This window comes from Homo sapiens, chromosome 5 (assembly GCF_000001405.40).
Source record: "Homo sapiens chromosome 5, GRCh38.p14 Primary Assembly".
Taxonomy (NCBI): domain Eukaryota; kingdom Metazoa; phylum Chordata; class Mammalia; order Primates; family Hominidae; genus Homo; species Homo sapiens.
Genome location: NC_000005.10, coordinates 162,566,968 through 162,592,097, shown reverse-complemented (window position 1 = coordinate 162,592,097; position 25,130 = coordinate 162,566,968). Strand labels below are relative to the sequence as shown.

General features: G+C 36.4%; 1 long non-coding RNA gene across 1 annotated transcript in view; it reads left to right on the top strand.

The window, feature by feature from the left end:
- Nucleotides 1-412: 412 nt before the first annotated feature.
- LOC105377697 (uncharacterized) overlaps nucleotides 413-25,130 on the top strand; it is a 56,743-nt gene continuing 32,025 nt past the window's right edge. The window contains exon 1 of the long non-coding RNA XR_941159.2: nucleotides 413-488. This is a non-coding gene — a long non-coding RNA (uncharacterized LOC105377697). The remainder of the gene's footprint in view (nucleotides 489-25,130) is intronic.

Below are 25,130 nucleotides of genomic sequence, written 5' to 3'. Positions count from 1 at the left end.
TCTTGAAAGGCAAGTTTGCTAGCAATAAATTCTATTAGTCTTGGTTTATCTACAAATACCTTTTCTCCCCATCATTTATGAAGGATACTTTTGCTGTATAAAGAATTCTTGTCCAATTTTTTCTTTTATTTCAGTCATTCATCCCATTGCTTTGTGGCTTCCATTGTATCAGATTAGAAGTCTGCCATTCATCATATTCTTGTTCCATTGTACTGAGGAATTATTTTTCTCTTTATGCCTAACTCAAAGTCATGACAATTTTATGCTATGTTAGCTAAAAACAATTTATAGTTTTATTAAGGTTTTGGATTTACATGTATGTTTGTCTAAGTTTTTTATGTATTGCTATAATAGAATACCACAGACTGGGTAACTTATAAATAAATTACATTTTTTTCTTACCATTCTGCAGGCTAAGACATCCAAGGTCAAAGGGCCTACATCTGGTGAAGGTCTTGCTGCTTTATCCCATGGTGGAAGGCAGATGGGTAAGAGAGCACAATAGAACAAGCCAGCAAGAGGGGGTCAAACCTGCTTTTATAAAAAGGCCACTCTCTTAACAACTAACACAGTCCCATGATTCTGACACTAATTCATTCACAAGGGCAGAGTCCTCATAACCTAATAACCACTTATTAGGCCCTACTTCACAGCACTTCCGTATTGGGTATTAAGTTTCTAATACATGAACTTTGGGGACACATTTAAATCCTGGCAATGTCCATTTTGAGTTGCCTTTTGTATATGGTGTTGATTTACAGACAGAATATTGTTTTTACTTTCTTTTTATTTCTTTTTCCTCTAAGTATATCCAATTGTGTCTACTCTATTTGTCAAAATAGCTATCTTTTCTCCATCAAATTACCTTTGTATTTGTACAAAAAAATCAGTCGTCCATATAGTTCTGGGACTATTTCTGGACTCTATAGTGTATTTGAGCAAAATGTACATTCTGACATCATTGAGTGTTGTGTTCTAGAAATATGAAAAAATGTCAGTTACTAAAATTTGTTTGATAATGTTGTTCTGGTCTTCTATATATTTCTATATCTTCCTTTCTTTACAGTCCTAGAAGATATCATCCTGTATGTTCCTTCTTGCTTTGTTTCTTCAGTGTTGTTTTTGGACTTTGTTTACCTCTGGATGCTTTTAATATTTCTAGTTTACATGTTTCATTAATTTTTAAGAGAACTACTTGATACTTACAACATACCTGTAGATTTGTCTTAGTGTTTCAGAGACTATAAGCATAGAGGTTAGAAATAGCAAATAAATAAAAAACTGGCAGTGTAATTGACAGGTACTTATGGAAGCTTTTCTTTTCCCAAATGACACTAGTATGAAAACAAAAATTTATGCTTTGCCTTTCTTTGCTGGCATTGTTTTTTCTTGTCTAATCTGTCAATGAAAACATAGTTATTCAAGGATCATTTTATCTTGTAGGAATCCCCCCACCTATCACTGCCCAAAACCTTATCTGTTGAGTTTTATGCAGCTGCAGGTATCAAACAACCCAGTTTCTTAAGCGGTAAATGCCCTCAGAGCAGCTGAGGCTTCAGTCATTATGTAAGTTTAGTGGGGAGAGAGCTAGGTATACGGATATAGGTTTTAATATACATAGGCATAAATATACATATAAATGTGCACATACACACATATACACATATAATTACTATATTGGACTGAAGAGAATATCCTACCGTGTGTTATATGTATCATTATGTATAATTGGCTTAACTCAAACTGAAAAAATACTCATGAATAAAATTATCTATTTCAGTAGTTACTTATCTGATTTAAAGTTAGCTTAGGGCAAATATAACTTCCCTACTGAATTTTTTTGAAATGAAATTCTGGAAAATATGAAGTAAATAGATCATAGGCACTATAATAGTCAACTAAATCATTTACAATTTTTTTCAAAAAAAGTTTTTTTCAGAAATTGATGTTGACCAAATCCTCTTCTTTTCTCCTAGGAATACTCCTTAGTTCAGTTTTTTCTCCATAACTCCAAAACTTAACTTCCGGAGATTTTCTAAATACAAAATTTCCTTCATATTATGTTTGTTTTTCTTTTACTTTTATAATTCATAATAGCTTTTTTGTTCCTAGCACGTGAAATTTTTAGTCTTTTTATGATGGCCAATTTATGAGAAACACGTTCACTTCCTCATTAATTTGATCTATCGCTATATCCAATGATTGTTCTCTCTCTGGAAAGAAACTGGTCATGCAAATTTCCATGTAGAGTGGTATTAAAGAAATCAGGAGCTACAAAACAAAAAAAAAGAACCCTCATGGAATTAGAATTATAATAATCTACTAAAACTATATGAAATAGCTGGTTATTGAAATATAAGATAAAACCCTTCACATATTAGAAGAAAAAAAAGTATGTTTTATACTAAACCATCTCCTTGCTGTGGGCTGCTTTTACTATAGGATGAGACATTTTGTTATCATGCTGTTTTGGAGCTTATAGAGTGGAAGATTAGTACAGGATTCCAAAGATACTTGCCAAATTTCTATTTTGTTCAAAGACACCAATATAACATATCATAAAGTCTGAAAAAATCATAATATTGTTAAATAGATCCTGTTAATGAGTACGTGGGTCGAATGAGTTATCAACTACAAATTATTGGAAAGTAACTAATCGCCAGAGAGTGAATTTGGTGGTCCACTTTTCAGGTTTTGCAGTTTTAATACTCCCAACATACTTAACATGTGAGTACTATTGTGAAGTCTATTAAATGTAATAATCAGTGCTTTCAGAAATAAAGTTAGTAATTGCAGGTTCCACAATTTATCAGTGCTAGAAGTAGGATTCGTTTGACACTAAAACCACCACATGAGGCCTAAAGTTTTGGCTAAATTTTTCCACCCAGGTGACATTGGCAAATATATTTTAAAATTTAAGACCTACTGATCTACCATGACAAATGATTTAGCTAGCATCTATATAAGTCTGTATCACCTTTAAACACATCATGCTGGATTTTAGTAACAATCAACTAATCCACATCCTAACTGTATGCAAAGATTGAAACTATATATAGAATCAAGCAACTTTTATGTTGTAAATGATCTAAGAAATCTTATGTTTTCAAATCTTGAGAACTTTACATTTCACTTCCCTGCAGCAAATAATATGACCAAAATCCCTTTAATCAAAGTGGATTCATCATTACAAAATAAAACATGATTTTAATAAAAACATAAATCACATCTTTAAACACAAAATCTTTTTTTCAGCTGAAATAGATGATTTTAGAAAGGACAAAGGATACTTCTTATGACAACAATTTAAAAAATGGTCAAGAAATGCAGCCTCCAAAAGAAACTTTCATCAGAGCAAACAGACAACCTACAGAATGGGAAAAATTTTTGCAATCTATCAATCTGACAAAGGTCTAATATCCAGCATCTTTGAGGAACTTAAACAAATTTACAGAAAAAGAATCCCATTAAAAAGTGGGCAAAGGACATGAATAGACACTTCTCAAAAGAAGACATACATGTGGCCAAGAAACTTACGGAAGAAAACTCAAAATCACTGATTATTAGAGAAATGCAAATAAAAACCATAATGAGATACAATCTCATACCAGTCAGACTAGCTATTATTAAAAAGTCAAAAATAGCAGATGCTGGCGAGGTTGTGGAGGAAAAGGAATGCTTTTACACTGTTGGAGGGAATATAAATTAGTTCAACCATTGTGGAAGACAGTGTGGTGATTCCTCCAAGACCTAGAGGCAGAAATACCATTTGACCTAGCAATCCCATTACTGGGTGTATACCCAAAGTAATATAAATCATTCTGTTATAAAGATACATGCATGTGTGTGTCCAATGCAGCACTATTCATAAGAGCAAAGACATGGAATCAACCTAAATGCCCATCAATGATAGACTGGATAAAGAAAATGTGGGACACATACACTATAGGATACTATGCAGCCATAAAATGGAATGAGATCATATCCTTTGTAAGGACATGGATGTAGCTGGATGCCATTACCCTCAGCAAACTAATACAGGAACAGAAAGCCAAATACCACATGTTCTAACTTATAAGTGGGAGCTGAATGATGAGAACATATGGACACATGGGAACAACAAACACTGGTGTCTGTTGGAGGGTGGGGGTGGGAGGAGGGAGGATATCAGGAAAAATAGCTAATGGATGCTAGGTGATTGGGTGATCTGTGCAGCAAACCACCGTGGCACATGTACCCCTTGACTTAAAGTTGGAAATCAAAAAAATAAAAGAATAAAAAAGAAATGCATCTTTCAAGGCCTTCAGGTACATGTCTCCAAGGTATATAGGGCATACCAGTTTCAATAAACCAAACAGCTTTCTATGGATTATTTTGTTCATTCCTCCAATTTTAAACTTCCATTTTAGTGCTTGCAGCAGTTTATTATCAGTATTATCAGTGCTGATGCCTACTTTTACAATTTTGCTGTTTCTTAGGGGTGCATTTTATAGAGCTGTGCTAACTCTCTGCCTTTGCAATATATTGCCTATACCAAAATTCTTAAACAATCTCTTTCATATCTTTAGCTCCCTTGTTTGCACTTATCATTGAGTTACTGATAAATTTTATCAAGGTAAATGGAATTTTTATATTTAATTTTCTTCTGAGGTACTGTTTTCTGGTTAACATTTTCTTGCTCTCTGATAAAGTGTCTCTTTAATCTTCTGAATGCTGCAATTGTAGAACTGTCTCCTAAAAACATTATGAAATTAGCAAACAAAAACTTTTCCTGTATTCAATTTAAATGCCTTCCCCATAAACTATTTTTCAGCACTTATTAACCCATGGCTACATATAAAAAAAAAGTGCTGAGATTCTACTTTAAAACTGAGTATACGGAATACTAAAAAGATTTACAGAACAATCATATATACTTGAATAATATATAATAAACTCATTTCTGATGTGTAACCCTATCATATGTTTTCTCATTTATTTCAATAACATCTTGCATCTGTATATGGTCTTTGGCTAATGACAGAATGGGTTTATTTAAGTCTGTTTTTATGTGTGTGTATATAGATATATGTAAATACACAAAAAATTATTAAACAAGTATAGGAAGTCGCTCTGACTTTCTTTTTTTTTTTTTTGAGAAGGAGTTTCGCTCTTGTTGCCCAGGCTGGAGTGCAATGGTGTGATCTCGGCTCATGGCAACTTCCGCCTCCCGGGCTCAAGCGATTCTCCTGCTTCAGCCTCCTGAGTAGCTGGGATTACAAGCATGCACCACCACGCCTGGTTAATTTTGTATTTTTAGTAGAGACGGGGTTTCTCCATGTTGGTCGGGCTGGTCTCAAATTCCTGACTTCAGGTGATCCGCTTGTCTTGGCCTCCCAAAGTTCTGGGATTAAAGGCATGAGCCATCGCGCCCGGCCGAGCTGACCCTTTTGTCTGGCTTCAAATACCATTCTGACCAGCACTGCAAATTTGTGCAGAGAAAACTAACTTAAAGTCATAATTGAAGTCTTGTAATGTGTTTTATCATTTAAAAATATGCACACATATTGACTTTACATTTTGCCTTAATTAAATCTAGTAATTGACAATTTTCAAAGAGTATAAAAATGAGAAAATTCTGGAATTACCATCAAACTTTAAAATGGATAAAAATTCTTTCTCTATTTTCTGGATTGTCTTGAATTATCTTCATGGATCTACTATTTTAAAAAACTTCTTTTTATCTCTATTCCTTGCTTTCAAACTTTCCTTGTAACTGCTCAGAGACTGCAGTCCAACTAAAAACAGTCATAATTCTATATTGTTAACTTTGTAGTGAAAAATAAAGCAGAGAAAACTAAAAACAATAGATCATATGAAAATCTCTATTTTTGTGGCAAATTCAAATGTATTTTAATGGTCTTGTTTTGATCACTTTATATATTACTGGAGGAGATATCAGTGAATCAAACAAAATCTATATCCCAAGTGTCATAGACTGTAGCAGAAAATAGTTAGTCTTGTGAAAAAATGAATAAGAATGCATGATTCTTAAACATCTAATTAATATGTTTATGCATTCAACAAATATTTAATATACACATGCACAAAGGCACTATGCAAAATAACTCACATTTTGGTCTTTAAGAGATTACCACATTTACTATATACAAGTCACATAAGAAAGATGTGAAAATTGACTTGTCACTTTAATTTTGAAATACCTGAAATAGACCTTTGCCTTCCAGGAATGGAAGAGTAAATTTTCTGGCTTCTAGAAATGGAGAAGTAACTAGGCCAAACTTATTGCAAGAAAAAAATTATACAATCTCAACAAAATATAAGAAGTAGCTATTTGAAGGTATTGAAAAGTGACCAAAAGTTGGGAGAAATTAGAGGAACATACATCTGAAAAGATAAACTGTCATATTTCGATTCTGCTAGAGAAGCAGAGAGATGCTGTTTATTAGTTTGAGGTTGGAAAGTATTGAATTTGAAAGAATAGCCAGCAAGTAAGAATGAGAGAGTGGAGGTATTCAGGAGGAAGAGCCATAAAAGACGAAAAGTCTACATTTAAAATCCACCCAAAGCATTGAATGAATACTAACCTATGTATGCAAAGGTGACACCCTAAAGAGTATAGTGAAAAAGTAGCAGCCAGAAGCTGAACGAACTTTGCAGAGATTTCACTGACTTCCCACTTCAGAGCAGATAAAAATGGAATTTGAGTCCAACCAAGTCAACTGTCTGTAAAAACAAATCTACAGAGGATGTATCAAAATGCAGATTTTATAAAACTTAGTATTTGTAAAATCCAACATACAATTAGAAACTACTGAACATATGATGAAACAGAAATATATGACCCATACTCAAGAAAATAAACATTCAAAGAAAACAACCCTGAGATAATTACACATTATAATGAAAACAAAAGGACTTTAAAAAACCCTACTATAAACATATTTAAGTATTTAAAAGAAAATACATGCATAATAAGTAGAGACAGACTATCAACACAAATATAGAAACAAAACAAAATGAAATAAAAATTCTAGAGCTGAAAAGCACAATAACTGATATAAAACTAATTGGAAAGGGTTAAGAAAATAATATCAATGGCAGAAATAAAATAACCAATGATCTTGTGGATAGAAAGAAATCATATAATCTTATGAACTAAAGAAAAAAATAGAAAAAAAAAGAAGTGTCTTAGAAGCCTGTATGACAATATTGAGTGAAATCTATTATAGGTGTGATTGGAATTCTGGAAGGACCAGAGACAGATCATGGACATTAAGGAAGAAAAACATGAAGAAATAATGGTTGAAAATGTTACAGATTTGGTAACAGACATTCATTTATAGATTCAAGAAGCTCAATACAATAGTCTAGAAGTATAAATGCAATAACAAGTATATACCTGGACATGTGATATTAAAATATTGATATCCAAAGATAAAGAGAAAATCCTGAAAGTCACCAAAGAATATTGAGATATTACAAATAGGAGAAGAGTTATTCAAATTAGGAATGACTTATCAGAAACATTAATAGACAAATGAGAGTGGAACATCTTTAAAATGCTGAAAGAAAATAACTGTAAAAGGAAAATTATTTATCGAGAGAAATACCTTTTAAAAGGAAAAGTAAAATAAAGATATTTCTGATAAAAATTGGAATACTTCATTGTCAGAAGATGTGGCCTAAAGGAAATTCTTCAAGCTGGAAGAAAGTTACACCAAATGATAATTTAAATCAATGGGATGAAAGTGGTAATTATCTCAATTTTATAGTTGAGAAAATTGAGGCATAGATAAAGTTTTGTCCCTGAGTACAGAAACCAGGAAACTCAAAACACAGAAATAGGAAATTTATTTTTCATGTTGTTAACCTTTGTAGTTGATGTTTTTTTTTTTAATTTTTTTTTAATTTTTATTATTATACTTTAAGTTTTAGGGTACATGTCCACAATGTGCCGGTTAGTTACATATGTATACATGTGCCATGCTGGTGTGCTGCACCCATTAACTCATCATTTAGCATTAGGTATATCTCCTAATGCTATCCGTCCCCCCTCCCCCCACCCCACAACAGTCCGCAGAGTGTGATGTTCCCCTTCCTGTGTCCACGTGTTCTCATTGTTCAATTCCCATCTATGAGTGAGAACATGCGGTGCTTGGTTTTTTGTTCTTGCGATAGTTTACTGAGAATGATGATTTCCAATTTCATCCATGTCCCTACAAAGGACATGAACTCATCATTTTTTATGGCTGCATAGTATTCCATGGTGTATATGTGCCACATTTTCTTAATCCAGTCTATCATTGTTGGACATTTGGATTGGTTCCAAGTCTTTGCTATTGCAAATAGTGCCACAATAAAAATACGTTTGCATGTGTCTTTATAGCAGCATGATTTATAGTCCTTTGGGTATATACCCAGTAATGGGATTGCTGGGTCAAATGGTATTTCTAGTTCTAGATCTCTGAGTAATCGCCACACTGACTTCCACAATGGTTGAACTAGTTTACAGTCCCACCAACAGTGTAAAAGTGTTCCTATTTCTCCACATCCTCTCCAGCACCTGTTGTTTTCTGACTTTTTAATGATTGCCATTCTAACTGGTGTGAGATGGTATCTCATTGTGGTTTTGAATTGCATTTCTCTGATGGCCAGTGATGATGAACATTTTTTCATGTATCTTTTGGCTGCATAAATGTCTTCTTTTGAGAAGTGTCTGTTCATATCCTTCACCCACTTTTTGATGGGGTTGTTTTTTTCTTGTAAATTTGTTTGAGTTCATTGTAGATTCTGGATACTAGCCCTTTGTCAGACGAGTAGGTTGCGAAAATTTTCTCCCATTTTTTAGGTTGCCTGTTCACTCTGATGGTAGTTTCTTTTGCTGTGCAGAAGCTCTTTAGTTTAATTAGATCCCATTTGTCAATTTTGGCTTTTGTTGCCATTGCTTTTCGTGTTTTAGACATGAAGTCCTTGCCCATGCCTATGTCCTGAATGGTAATGCCTAGGTTTTCTTCTAGGGTTTTTATGGTTTTAGGTCTAATGTTTAAGCCTTTAATCCATCTTGAATTAATTTTTGTATAAGGTGTAAGGAAGGGATCCAATTTCTGCTTTCTACATATGGCTAGCCAGTTTTCCCAGCACCATTTATTAAATAGGGAATCCTTTCCCCATTGCTTGTTTTTGTCAGGTTTGTCAAAGATCAGATAGTTGTAGAAATGCGGCGTTATTTCTGAGGGCTCTGTTCTGTTCCATTGATCTATATCTCTGTTTTGGTACCAGTACCATGCTGTTTTGGTTACTGTAGCCTTGTAGTATAGTTTGAAGTCAGGTAGCATGATGCCTCCAGCTTTGTTCTTTTGGCTTAGGATTGAATTGGCGATGCGGGCTCCTTTTTGTTTCCATATGAACTTTAAAGTAGTTTTTTCCAGTTCTGTGAAGAAAGTCATTGGTAGCTTGATGGGGATGGCATTGAATCTATAAATTACCTTGGGCAGTATGGCCATTTTCATGATATTGATTCTTCCTACCCATGAGCATGGAATGTTCTTCCATTTGTTTGTATCCTCTTTTATTTTATTGAGCAGTGGTTTGTAGTTCTCCTTGAAGAGGTCCTTCACGTCCCTTGTAAGTTGGATTCCTAGGTATTTTATGCTCTTTGAAGCAATTGTGAATGGTAGTTAACTCATGATTTTGCTCTCTGTTTGTCTGTTATTGGTGTATAAGAATGCTTGTGATTTTTGTACATTGATTTTGTATCCTGAGACTTTGCTGAAGTTGCTTATCAGCTTCAGGAGATTTTGGGCTGAGACAATGGGGTTTTCTAGATATACAATCATGTCATCTGCAAACAGGGACAATTTGACTTCCTCTTTTCCTAATTGAATACCCTTTATTTCCTTCTCCTGCCTGATTGCCCTGGCCAGAACTTCCAACACTATGTTGAATAGGAGTGGTGAGAAAGGGCATCCCTGTCTTGTGCCAGTTTTCAAAGGGAATGCTTCCAGTTTTTGCCCATTCAGTATGATATTGGCTGTGGGTCTGTCGTAGATAGCTCTTATTATTTTGAGATACGTCCCATCAATACCTAATTTATTGAGAGTTTTTAGCATGAAGAGTTGTTGAATTTTGTCAAAGGCCTTTTCTGCATCTATTGAGATAATCATGTGGTTTTTGTTTTTGGTTCTGTTTATATGCTGGATTACATTTATTGATTTGTATGTATTGAACCAGCCTTGCATCCCAGGGATGAAGCCCACTTGATCATGGTGGATAAGCTTTTTGATGTGTTGCTGGATTCGGTTTGCCAGTATTTTATTGAGGATTTTTGCATCAATGTTCATCAAAGATATTGGTCTAAAATTCTCTTTTTTGGTTGTGTCTCTGCCCAGCTTTGGTATCAGGATGATGCTGGCCTCATAAAATGAGTTAGAGAGGATTCCCTCTTTTTCTATTGATTGGAATAGTTTCAGAAGGAATGGTACCAGTTCCTCCTTGTACCCTGGTAGAATTTGGCTGTGAATCCGTCTGGTCCTGGACTCTTTTTGGTTGGTAAGCTATTGATTATTGCCACAATTTCAGAGCCTGTTATTGGTCTATTCAGAGATTCAACTTCTTCCTGGTTTAGTCTTGGGAGGGTGTATGTGTCAAGGAATTTATCCATTTCTTCTAGATTTTCTAGTTTATTTGCGTAGAGGTGTTTGTAGTATTCTCTGATGGTAGTTTATATTTCTGTAGGATCGGTGGTGATATCCCCTTTATCATTTTTTATTGAGTCTATTTGATTCTTCTCTCTTTTCTTCTTTATTAGTCTTGCTAGCGGTCTATGAATTTTGTTGATCCTTTCAAAAAACCAGCTCCTGGATTCATTAATTTTTTGAAGGGTTTTTTGTGTCTCTATTTCCTTCAGTTCTGCTCTGATTTTAGTTATTTCTTGCCTTCTGCTAGCTTTTGAATGTGTTTGCTCTTGCTTTTCTAGTTCTTTTAATTGTGATGTTGGGGTGTCAATTTTAGATCTTTCCTGCTTTCTCTTGTGGGCATTTAGTGCTATAAATTTCCCTCTACACACTGCTTTGAATGTGACCCAGAGATTCTGGTATGTTGTGTCTTTGTTCTCGTTGTTTTCAAAGAACATCTTTATTTCTGCCTTCATTTCGTTATGTACCCAGTAGTCATTCAGGAGCAGGTTGTTCAGTTTCCATGTAGTTGAGCGGTTTTGAGTGAGTTTCTTAATCCTGAGTTCTAGTTTGATTACACTGTGGTCTGAGAGGCAGTTTGTTATAATTGCTGTTGTTTTACATTTGCTGAGGAGTGCTTTACTTCCAACTATGTGGTCAATTTTGGAATAGGTGTGGTGTGGTGCTGAAAAAAATGAATATTCTGTTGACTTGGGGTGGAGCGTTCTGTAGATGTCTATTACATCCGCTTGTTGCAGAGCTGAGTTAATTCCTGGGAATCCTTGTTAACTTTCTGTCTCATTGATCTGTCTAATGTTGACAGTGGGGTGTTAAAGTCTCCCATTATTATTGTGTGGGAGTCTAAGTCTCCTTGTAGGTCACTCAGGACTTGCTTTATGAATCTGGATGCTCCTGTATTGGGCGCATATATATTTAGGATAGTTAGCTCTTCTTGTTGAATTGATCCCTTTGCCATTATGTAATGGCCTTCTTGGTCTCTTTTGATCTTTGTTGGTTTAAAATCTGTTTTATCAGAGACTAGGATTGCAACCCCTGCCTTTTTTTGTTTTCCATTTGCTTGGTAGATCTTCCTCCATCCTTTTATTTTGGGCCTATGTGTGTCTCTGCATGTGAGATGGGTTTCCTGAATACAGCACACTGATGGGTCTTGACTCTTTATCCAATTTGCCAGGCTGTGTCTTTTAATTGGAGCAATTAGTCCATTTACATTTAAAGTTAATATTGTTATGTGTGAATTTGATCCTGTCATTATGATGGTAGCTGGTGATTTTGCTCATTAGTTGATGCAGTTTCTTCCTAATCTCCATGGTCTTTACATTTTGGCATGATTTTGCAGCAGCTGGTACTGGTTGTGCCTTTTCATGTTTAGTGCTTCCTTCAGGAGCTCTTTTAGGGCAGGCCTGGTGGTGACAAAATCTCTCAGCGTTTGCTTGTCTGTAAAGTATTTTATTTCTCCTTCCCTTATGAAGCTTAGTTTGGCTGGATATGAAATTCTGGGTTGAAAATTCTTTTCTTTAAGAATGTTGAATATTGGCCCCCACTCTCTTCTGGCTTGTAGAGTTTCTGCTGAGAGATCCGCTGTTAGTCTGATGGGCTTCCCTTTGTGGGTAACCCAACCTTTCTCTCTGGCTGCCCTTAACATTTTTTCCTTCATTTCAACTTTGGTGAATCTGACAATTATGTGTCTTGGAGTTGCTCTTCTCGAGGAGTATCTTTGTGGCGTTCTCTGTATTTCCTGAATCTGAACGTTGGCCTGCCTTGCTAGATTGGGGAAGTTCTCCTGGATAATATCCTGCAGAGTGTTTTCCAACTTGGTTCCATTCTCCCCATCACTTTCAGGTACACCAATGAGACACAGATTTGGTCTTTTCACATAGTCCCATATTTCTTGGAGGCTTTGTTCATTTCTTTTTATTCTTTTTTCTCTAAACTTCCCTTCTCGCTTCATTTCATTCATTTCATCTTCCATCATTGATACCTTTTCTTCCAGTTGATCGCATCGGCTCCTGAGCCTTCTGCATTCTTCACGTAGTTCTCGAGCCTTGGCTTTCAGCTCCATCAGCTCCTTTAAGCACTTCTCTGTATTGGTTATTCTAGTTATACATTCGTCTAAATTTTTTTCAAAGTTTTCAACTTCTTTGCCTTTGGTTTGAATTTCCTCCTGTAGCTCGTAGTAGTTTGATCGTCTGAAGCCTTCTTCTCTCAACTCGTCAAAGTCATTCTCCATCTAGCTTTGTTCCATTGCTGGTGAGGAACTGTGTTCCTTTGGAGGAGGAGAGGCACTCTGCTTTTTAGAGTTTCCAGTTTTTCTGCTCTGCTTTTTCCCCATCTTTGTGGTTTTATCTACTTTTGGTCTTTGATGATGGTGATGTACAGATGGGTTTTTTGCTGTGGATGTCCTTTCTGTTTGTTAGTTTTCCTTCTAACAGACAGGACCCTCAGCTGCAGGTCTGTTGGAGTTTGCTAGAGGTCCACTCCAGACCCTGTTTGCCTGAGTATCAGCAGCGGTGTCTGCAGAACTGCGCGGATTTTTGTGATCCGCGAATGCTGCTGTCTGATTGTTCCTCTGGAAGTTTTGTCTCAGAGGAGTACCCGGCCATGTGAGGTGTCAGTCTGCCCCTACTGGGGGATGCCTCCCAGTTAGCCTGCTCGGGGGTCAGGGGTCAGGGACCCACTTGAGGAGGCAGTCTGCCCGTTCTCAGATCTCCAGCTGCGTGCTGGGAGAACCACTGCTCTCCTCAAAGCTGTCAGACAGGGACATTTAAGTCTGCAGAGGTTACTGCTGTCTTTTTGTTTGTCTGTGCCCTGCCCCCAGAAGTGGAGCCTACAGAGGCAGGCAGGCCTCCTTGAGCTGTGGTAGCCTCCACCCAGTTGGAGCTTCAGGGCTGCTTTGTTTACCTAAGCAAGCCTGGGCAATGGCGGGCGTCCATCCCCCAGCCTCACTGCCGCCTTGCAGTTTGATCTCAGACTGCTGTACTAGCAATCAGCGAGACTCCGTGGGCGTAGGACCCTCCAAGCCACGTGCAGGATATAATCTCCTGGTGCGCCCTTTCCTAAGCCCATCGGAAAAGCGCAGTATTTGGGTGGGAGTGGCCCGATTTTCCAGGTGCCCTCTGTCACCCCTTTCCTTGACCAGGAAAAGGAACTCCCTCACCCCTTGCACTTCCCGAGTGAGGCAATGCCTCACCCTGCTTCAGCTCGCGCACGGTGCGCTGCACCCACTGTCGTGCACCCACTGTCTGGCACTCCTTAGTGAGATGAACCTGGTACCTCAGATGGAAATGCAGCAATCACCCGTCTTCTGCCTCACTCACGCTGGGAGCTGTAGACCAGAGCTGTTCCTATTCGGCCATCTTGGCTCCTCTCTGTAGTTGATGTTTTAACTTACAGATAGACAGATAGGTAGATAGATAGATCGACCGACAGAGATAGAGATATCTTTTACCTATATATCTATAAAAGATGTTCATATATATATCTTTTATATATATAAAAATATCTCTCTGTATATTGCTCTATCCTTTAAAAGTCACAAAGACAAACATAAATTATAAATGGAATTACACAAATACCATTTCTTAGCTATACACCTTTCTCAAAGCACAAGCTCCAAATTTTTATTGTTTTACATTTAATTTGACAATGATGTCTCAATTTGTTTGACTATGGAGTTAAATATAGTATCAACTCCTTTCTGAAGGGAAAATAACAAAAAAATTGGTGAACTCTGTCAGTACTCAAATATAACCAAAGAAATAGTAATTCTTAAGAGATTTTGGTCAATGTATTCAGAGATTAGCTACGCAAAAACATGTACACACATGCATACATAAACGTAGAAACATTCAAACTTATACACTTTTTACTAACAAAACCCACAAATTCTAAATCCTGCATTTCTTGGTGAATGGTTCAGAAAATTAATCCTAGAATACTCTTCAGTGCCTGATTACAAAAAAAGGTTTTAAAAACTGACTCACTGAAAATATTGGCTGGGCATGGTGGCTCAGGTGTGTAATCCCAGCACTTTGGGAGGCCGAGGTGGGTGTATCACCTGAGGCCAGGAGTTTGAGACCAGCCTGGCCAGTATGGTGAAATCTCACCTCTACTAAAAATACAAAAATTAGCTGGGCATGATGGCATATGCCTGTAGCCTCAGCTACTCTGGATGAGGCAAGAGAATTGCTCAAACTGAGTAGGTGGAGGTTGCAGATAGCCCAGATTGCACCACTGCACTCCAGCCTGGGTGACACAGCGAGACTACATTTCCAAAAAAAAAAAAAAAAACAAGGGAAAATATATGGGAGTGTAGCAGTGGTAATGTAAAGAAAGTGTAGAAGGCACAGAACAGGACTTTGGAGAAAAGGATTAAATTCTCAGTAATATTGCTGATTTAGTTGTATATTCTGAAAGGTTTCATTTGGTTGTTTTATAAACTAAACAAGAGAAAACAGGTTGAAAATGTTGAGACATGATATAAAATGAGAAGTATGAGGTTTTATAAGCATCTTATCTTAACTTTTAAAAGTCATTTTTTTTCTTTTTTTGAGTCAGAGTCTTGCCCTGTCACCCAGGCTGGAGTGCAATGGGGCAATCTCAGCTCACTGCAACCTCTGCCTCCCAGGTTCAGGCAATTCTCCTGCCTCAGCCTCCCAAGTAGCTGGAATTACAGGCATGAGCCATGACACCTGGCTAATTTTTGTATTTTTAGTAGAGATGAGGTTTTGCCATAATGGCCAGGCTCGTAGTCTCCTGTCCTCAAGTGATCTACCTGCCTCAGCCTCCCAAAGTGCTGGGATTACAAGTGTGAGCCACCATGCCTGGCAAAAGTCTTTCGTTTTAACTACTCAAATCATTATTGTTTTCTTTAGCTACTATTTAAATTGGAGAACGTGACACATAATCTCTCTGTAACTGGATTAAAATTGGGGAAAAATAAAATAACAGTGTGTTCTCTGTTTTCTCCAAAGCAGACAGATATCCCAATAAACAAAGTTTGCTATTCATGCTCTCAAATGCTGAAAATTTACAATAAATATTGGATGGTGGGATAACAACTTTCACCATATCCAATATTTATCAAATGTCTTCAAAATTTTATATGCTTCATGATTTTCTGTATTCTTGTTCTATCATTTACTGAAATACAGTCGGGGGATACAGTGGGGTATTGAAATCTCTTTCTATAATTACAAACTTGTCTTTTTCTCCTTGAAATGTTATCAGTTTTTTAAAAGCTCTGTTATTAGGTACAAAATGTTCAGGATGGTGATGTCCTCTTGAAAAATTGATACCTTTCTTATAAAATGATTGTATTTGGTACCATTTTTTGCTCCAAAATATACTTTATCTGATATTATATAATCATTTCCACTTTAATTAATTTTAGTAAGATACAGCTTTTTTATTTTTTTATTTTTTATTTATTTTGAGACAGAGTCTTGCCCTGTTGCCCAGGCTGGAGTGCAATGGCTTGATCTTGGCTCACTGCAACTTTTGCCTCCTGGGTTCAAACAATTCTCCCATCTCAGCCTCCTGAGTAGCTGGGATTATAGGCATCCACCACCACGCCCAGCTAATTTTTGTATTTTTAGTAGAGTTGGGGTTTCACCATGTTGGCCAGTCTGGTCTCGAATTCCTGACCTCCAGTGATCTGCCCGCCTCAGACTCCCAAAGTGCTGGGATTACAGGCATGAGCCATCATGCCCGGATGATACAGCTTTTTATATCCTTTAACTTTTAACTAATTTGTGTCTTTACAAGAAAATGCTTCTCATAGGCAGCATATAGATGGGTCTATCTAATCTGAAAACCTCTCACCTTTAATTGGAGTACTTAGACCATTTATATTTAATGATTATTGCTATGGTTAGGCTTAAATCTCTCTTCTCATTATTTTTTTCTGTATGTCTTGTATGATCCTTGTCTCCATGTTGCTTTTTTTTTTTTTGCTTTCTTCAGAGAAAAATTTAAATTTATCCATTTTATCTCCATTGTTGATTCAGCTGCAACTCTTTCTTTTGCAAAGTTAGCAGTTGCTGAGTTTATAATATATATTGGATCCTTCACAGATAGTCTTCAAATGATACTATATTTCTTCTTGCAAAGTATAAGAATTTCACATTAAATAGTTTCATTTCTCAATTCCCACCTTTATGTTATTGTTGTCATTCATTTTACTTTTATGTAGTACAAAAACTGCAAACCATTGTTATTTAGTGTAAAATTTTGTTATTTACTTTGTAAAGGAATTTACATAACAAGAAAACCAATAATATATTTTTTCTCGTTTCTATTTCCAGTGTTCCTTACTCCTTTTGCATTTCTATATTTCCATTAGGTATCTTATTTTTCTGCCCAAAGGACTTCCTTTAATGTCTCTTGTAAGGCTGGTTTGTTAAAAAATAATTTTTTTCAGTGTTTCTAAGTCTGAAAAATTCTTGATTTCATGGTCTTTTTTGGAAACATATGTTAACTCTTTTAAAAATTCTATTTGCTAGATATATGGCTTCAGTACTTTAAACATAATGCTTTACTATCTTCTTGCTTAGATTGATTATGATAGTAAATCCTGTTATTTTTATCTTTTCTTTCCTCTATACTTAACTCACCATTTTTTTAATTAAAAAAATTCTTAAACATTAACATTTTTATCACTAATTTGAATAATTTGTTTCTGAAGTGCTTTGATACAGTTTTCTTTCTGTTTCTTCTGCTTAGGTTTCATAGAGCTTTTTGGAAAATTTGGAGACATTATTTCTTCAAATATTTTACTGCTCCTTTCTTTGAAGACTACAATTTTATATGTAATGCATCTTAATGTTGCCTCACAGCTCACTGATACACTTTTTCTTCTTTAAATTGTTTTTCTCTTTTTGTTACATTTTGTACATTATCTGTTGCTACGTATTCAAGTTCACTAATCTCTATTGTCTGGGCTGGAGTGCAGGGGTGTGATCATAGCTCACTGCAGCCTCAAACTTCTGGGCTCAAGCAATCCTCCTACCTCATCTTCCCAAGCAGCTGGAACCGCAGGTGCACATCACCACTTATGGGTATTTTTAAATTTTTTATTTATTGTAGAGAAGGTGTCTCACTATGTTGCCCAGGCTAATCTCAAACTCTGGGCCTCAAGCAATTCTCCTACCTCAGTCTCCTAAAGTCCTGAGATTACAGGCATGAGGCACTGTACCCAACTTGTTTTTAAGATGTGTTTAGTTTAGTGCTAATAACTCCCCAATACGGAGACAAGACCCTTGTGACTACTCTACCCTCTAACTCATAAAGATTTTACTAAGTGGTGGCAATAGGCACCCTATTCTTGTGTGAGGTGTTGACTACTCTTTATTTTCTAACGTACTTTTTTTTTGTAAGTTTGTTTTTACTTTTTTTCTTTGTGTCCTTCTTGCCTTTGCTTCTCTTGCCTTGTTTTTTCTCACTTCCTCTTTTCTTTTCCTTTTCTTAATACTGCTTAAACCCCTTCATTTCTTCCATTTCTTTATTTTTTTCCTTGTATTCTTGAGATAAGTGAAAGTGCCTTAATTATAGACACAGCATTTTGCTCAGCTCTATGAGAGATACTTAGAAGTATATAATATGGCCTTTGCGACATTCTATTTAGAGAAATAGAACATGACAATTATGCCTGCATTGTCAAACGTATTTTAAACATTAAAAGTACTGAAGGTATTGTTTGCAGATGGATAAATATTAAGATTAGATAAGTAAAAAGAAATGAAGTTGGCAATTTAGGTCAGTTTACCTCTCCAAGTGAAGTCCCAGACACCAGGACAGTACACAAGAAGGAAGAGTGGGGGCAGAGTGTACGTAAAGTGAGATTTGTGAATCACGCTTAAACAGTCTAAATAAACTATGCTAAAGAGATTTTTTTCTAGTTTTTCAAATAATTAGGACCCACTAAATGATTTTGTATATGAATGTTATAACCAAGATTTTTTTCCCCAAAACAAAGTCTTTGGGGGAAAGACTACTCTTGATGCTTCGCTATTCAAATTCCATAAAAGGTACACACCAATTTACATCGATAGCTGAGAAACGGTGGTGGTACATCTAGAAATTACTTAATTATTAAAAGTAGTCTCTTAAGTAGAATTCAAGCATCCTTAGTTACCCACCTATAATCCTGGACTCAAGGAATATTTCTTGTAAATATTCTCTTCTTTCTCCTAGAGACTGACTATCATGCCAAAGTCTAGTTTGGTAGCGAGTTTTGACCTTTTGTTCTGGTCATCATCTGCATACTTACTGTTAAGCAAGTACCTATTTCTTTTTAAGTGCCCTGTGTGAGAAAAGATCCCATTTTCTAACTATACCCACATGAGCAAAATCTAGATATTATGAAGCAGGGATAACAAAAGCTGCGGCTACACTTAACTCTAGCTTGGCCAAAGTAGTTAATTTCCTCAAAGCTTCAAAAAAAATTACTTTTGCAGATAAATTTTATTCGAAATGAAAATACAAATTTTATTCGAAATGAAAATACAGTTTTACAATGAATACTGTTCAGTACTTTCTTATTTTTAATTAATAATCAGATGTTACTTCTTTGTGCTGTGAGCCCAGAATGAGAAAGTTGTACCAAATATGTCAATATTGAATAACTGTTTCCCTGATCAATTGCCACTAATATGAATAAATTGTATTACTTAAAATATGTGGGAGGTATTTTGAACATCACAAGCCTGAACTAAAATCTTCCTTCTCTGAGCATACATCTTTAGTTTCTCAATTCTTTTTTCTCTTGAAATATACCTAGAATTGACTTAAAACATTAGAAATAGATACATAATTATATAAATATATTAGAAATACATGGATGCCTTAAAAATCAAATCCATTTATCATTTGCTTTATTAAAGTTTCTAAGACTTTTTTCCTGTTTTCATTTTTTTGTTTTTAAATATCAAATTTTATCTTAGATGCAAGGGTACATGCCAAGGTTTCTTACCTGGGAATGTTGTGTGATGCTGAAGTTTGGGGTATGGATCCCATCACCCAGGTAGTGAGCACAGTACTCAATAGGTAGTTTTTCAACTCACCATCCCCTTAACCCTCTAGTAGTCCTGAATGTCTATTGTTCCCATATTTATGTCCATGTGTGCTCAGTGTTTAGCTCTCACTTATAAGTGAGAACATGTAGGGTTTGATTTTCTGTTCCTGAGTTAATTCGCTTAGGTTTATGGCCTCCAGCTCCATCCATTTTGCTGCATTTTATCTTAGGCTGTCAGTACTTTATGCCATCTTACATTTCTCTGCCATTACTTTTTTAATTGAAGTTATATTAAAAATATTTGCAAATCTTGAGAAAGGTAATTTTGCTAAAATATCTTTTTAGTCTAACTTTGTAAAATGATAAGTGATGAATGATCCATCAAAAAATATTTACAGAATTGCAACCAGGGCTTTATCAATGTGCTATTTCATGTGGATATAAAATTAGCTCATCTCACTTGGTTAATCTTGGTGGAAAAACTTTAAATAAAGTTAGACATGGGTACCATGTTTTGAAGACATACCATATGGCATCACCTGTACTACTTGCTTTATGTATGTAATCTCACATATTCATCCGTAATGGCACTTATACATTTGACCTTTTCTTTATCAGTGTTTATGTATGGCAGAACAACACACATCCTTGGAGGTAAAGCTAGGTATTATATCTGAGGTGTCACATAAAATAATTTAATCTTTTAAAATTTTTCTCTAAGGAATGTATTTATGCTACTTCTCCCCTTCCCTAGTGTAAGTTTATTTTTGTTTAACCCTTCATAACGGTGTAGTTAAATTTTCACAAAACCCTATAAATTTGAGATTATAAACCTAAATTTAAAAACTAGGAGGTGGTATAACTGGTATTTAAATCTATGACACTATAATTAATCTGTACACTTCCAATGTACAAATTAACTTTTTATGAATTACTTTGAATCATTAGTTATTTTTGCATGAGTCCCACTGCTACCCCCATTCTCACATTTATGAATAGTGTTCAGGTCTCTGTCTCATAGTCTTTGTGTGCATAGTTGTATAGTACATGGCTTTATACACAATAGAATCTCATTACCTGTTTGTGGTTTCTTACCACAATGGTTCTAAGGCAGGACAAGGAGAATACATCAGAATTATATGGGAAGTTTTTTCAAACTTCACACACAGCCGTAAAAGATCCTAGTTGTCTCTTCTGTAGTAAGCCAATAGCACTCATGGGAATATGTAATATCCTTCAAGAATTTTGGGCTGTAATACAGATTGAGGAAAATGTCCTTATAAAAATGACTTGGGGCTCCAGCTGCATCATCTTTTTCAGAGCAGTACTTGTCATGCTACTCAAAGTGTCTTCTGTGGACCAATGCCAATCCACAAACTCCTAAGAGTTTGTAATAAAGGCAAACATTGAGAGAAAATGTTGAAAAGCTATAACATATCAACAGGCTTGTGTGTTCCCTTTTTTGTGTGTTTTATTTTACTATATTTTAGAATTACATTTTTAAATTCAATCCACATACAATGAACTGTAAATTAAAAGTAAACAACAAACACTCACCTTTCACCATAGACAGTTTGAGGAAAAGTGAGCAGTAGCATTTTTTTGGCATTCAGAATTCTTCTTCTTTTATTGATGTTCTTGATGCAGGGCAGGCGAGTCCCAAAAGCGGGGGTTAGCATGGGTGGGTTCCTGGCTTTGCTCAGGAAAGAATTCAAGAGTGAGCCAGCAGTGGAAGAAAGCAAGTTAGTAGAAGCAGCAGTGCACAGCTCAGTGACTGGTCCTTGTGGATCAGGGCTAAACCATAGGCAGTGCACCCAGAGTTAGCAGCATAGGGGCTCCTGGCTGGCAGTATTTATACCTACTTTTAATTACATGCAAATTAAGGGGAGGGTTATTCAGAAACATCCAGAAAAGAGGCAGGGAGTCCCAGGTGTTGCCACAGCATTTGTACACCGTCATGGCGCTGGTGGGAGTGTGTTATGCTGATGAGCAGCTAGGGCAACTAGAGGTTGCCTTTGGCATCATTCCCTAGTTCCACCTGGCTTCTTCCTTTTATCCTGTCGGGACCAGGAAATAAGTCTTGCCGGTCTCCTACCTCATTCCTATGATTGGTTAACACATAGCATATACCTTGTGTATTCTTAGAATGTTTCCCAGAACATGGAGATGCCTTACAGAATAGATTTGACTGTTAATATGTACTTAGTCACGGTGTACTTTGTTTTGTTAGTGAAATATCTGGAAAGGCATCAGGCAGAGAAAAGTGTGGAGTGAAAACTGCTGATGTGGTTTGGATCTGTGCCCCCATCCATATCTCATGTTGAATTGTAATCCCCAGTGCTGAAGGTGGAGTCTAGTGGGAGGTGATTAGATAATGGGGGCAGAATTCTTATTAATGGTTTAGTATTATCTCCCCTGGGACTGTAGAATGAGTGAGTTCTTATGTGCTCTGGTTGTTTAAAAGGTATGTAGCACCATCCCACTCGTTCTCTCCCTCCCGCTGCTGCCATGTAAGACGTGCCTGCTTCTCCTTTGCCTTCCTTCGTGATTGAAAGTTTCCTGAGGCCTCCCCAGAAGTCATCATGCTTCCTGTATAGCCTGAAGAACCATGAGTCAATTAAACTTCCATTTTTTATAAATTACCCAGTCTTAGGTATTTCCTCATAGTAATGCAAGGACGGACTAATACAACTTCCAGCAACTGTGCCCTGAAGTCTACCCTATCCAGAAGGCTTCTCTCTCTCTAATCCTGATTATCAGTAGGAGTACTACTTGGAAAGGAGGGATGAACCTGTGCCACAGTGGAATGCTAAGTTTTTTGACATCCAGGCCCACATCTTCCAACTTTCAATATTGACCACTGTTTGCAATGGAAATAAAGGCAACTAGGTTTCCTAAGAGAGTTAGGAGCGAAAAGAAGAGGCAGGAGGAGGTACATCCTAATGGTGTAACATGTTTTCTTTTCCATAGTAAAGTATAATAGTGATGTCATAGCTGTGTAATTACACACTTACATTCAAGCACTCCATTCCGTGTTTCTAAGATGTAGAGCAACTGCCCCTTCTGCTTTCTGAAAACTGAATTAAACAAGTACTTCCTTGTCTATAATATTAAAAGCCTTTTAATATAACATAAGCTAATACACAATATCAAGGAAAGATATTAGGCAAACAAGGTTAAATGACTTACAAGTTTTTCTTCCATCTATTCTGAATATAAATGGTGAACAGCCAGATGTGGAGAAAAGATACAAAGTAGAAGATAGAATGTTGCTATTAAAAGACTGTAGTACAAAAACAAAAAGCACAAACAAGAACAAAAGTCAATAGCTAGCCATCTATTTTCCTTTCTAAAAAGGTAGTAAAATACATTAAAGAAATACTTTCTTGTTGTATGTGCCTTATAGAGATTGTTTCCATTTCTCTGTCCAAGGAAACATAAGCAGTACATCTTTATAGAGGGCAGTGTATGTCCATAAAACAAATGCTGCCAAGTAGAACATTAAAAAGAGACTGTTGAAATACCTGCCAGAAAGATAATTTAGGTTAGGCTCTCTGTTTTGATAAAAGTACATGAAGCATAACGGTAACAATCTCTACTCTCTCTTAAAGCAAAGAGGAAAAAAAAGCCCCACTCTAAAACCCTTTAAAGATATCAGAATTAATTGTAAACTATGAAATATGCCCTAGTTCTTGTTCTGATTGGAATTCAGAAAAAGAAAGAGAGAATTAAAACAGGAAGAAGTGCTGTAAACTAAGTCACAATGCAGTGGCATACCGATTTGGAACCAAAGATCCATTTCCAACAGACCTCATTTAAATCACTGGGCTATTCAACAAGGGCTGCCTTAAATGGGTCACCTTACATGAACCTCAAATTATTACTTGTCAAGAAAAGCAGACAAACACCTATGTAGAAGGATTTCTGATTTTTTTTTAGCTTAGCACAGCAATTGAGAGGTAATGGACAAAAATGTAAGAAAATAAAAGATAAGGCCAATGGTCTGTGTTGCATGGCAACAGCGAGTTTAGAGATTAGCCCTTCACTTCTTTCAGTTACCAATATCACCAGAGGCAAAGCAGAAGCACAGAACTGTTTAGCATATAGATTTCAATACCACACAGACTTCTGCTGGAACCATATGTCTTACCCAAAGAATCATGCCACCAAATTAGGGAAAGCTTGCCTTTTGCTCAGAAAACAATCACACTTACAGATGTAATGACAGTTTGGGGGGCGGGTTCACATATCTATTTTGAAAACACTCATAAGAACAGTCCCATAGAAATAAGTATATGGACAAAAGTCTCGCACTCTTCTTTTTACATCATTCTGGTTATAGAAATTGAGAATATCTGGTGTATTATTTATTTATTGTTGTACAACAAATTACCCAGAAATGAGCAGATGAAAACAAACAAAATAATATTATTTCACAGAGGTTCTTAGACTCAGGAATCTGAGACCAGCTTAACTGAGTACTTGTGACTCAGCATCGATTCTGTGCTTGGAGTTAAGCTGCTGATTGAGGCTACTGTCTTATCTGGAAGTGCCACTTCCCAGCTCACTCATGTGGCCATTGGCAGGAGACTTTATTTCCTCACCATGAAGGGCTCTCCATGTGCTGCTTATGACGTAGTTTTACCAGAGAATAAGAACCAACAACAGAGAGAGGAAGAAAGAGTGAAAGAGAGAGAAGAGGGAGAGAGACCGCAGTGGTGGAGAGGGGCTGCCTGGAAAGCAGGTCTGAAAGGCTGGTTACCAGAGTCTACCCTCTGGCTCCAAAAGATCTAAGTTTCTCCCACATGCAAAATACCCTCACATCCTGCCATGTCCCCCAGTCCCTCACCAAATCTTATCCCATTACCATGTCAGAAAAACCTGCAGTATCATCCTATCTAAATCAAGTCCAGATGAGGGTGCATCTGCCACATGAAGCTTCTTATGTGTTGCTCCCTAAATAGAGTTCCTCCTGCAAGTCTGTGAAATACACACGGTATCTGCTCCTATACACCCAACAAAAAATGATGCTAACCACTACAGACTGCAGTTTCAAAAGGGAGAATATGTGAAGCACAGAGTCACAGATCCATAGCAATTTTGAAATTCATCCAGGCAAATGTAGGAAGTTCCTTGATTAGGACTCAGTCCTGTTACTTCCTGGAAATGATTCTTCAGAACATTCAACTCCACCCTCAGAGCTTTTGGTCCTTCCCGGTAGCCAATTGCTTTGCCATCTAAGTCACCCTTCCTTTGCCACGAAATGCAGCCCAGGCTTTTTCGATGAGTAGTTGCTTTAGCCTGTTGCTGGCTTGTCAATATTTAGGGTTCCAAAAGTCTCTTTTCATTTTGTACTGTTTCTGTCTCTTTTTCATCAAGCTATGTTTCTGCATCTATGATTTTTCTTAAAGATTTGATGCATC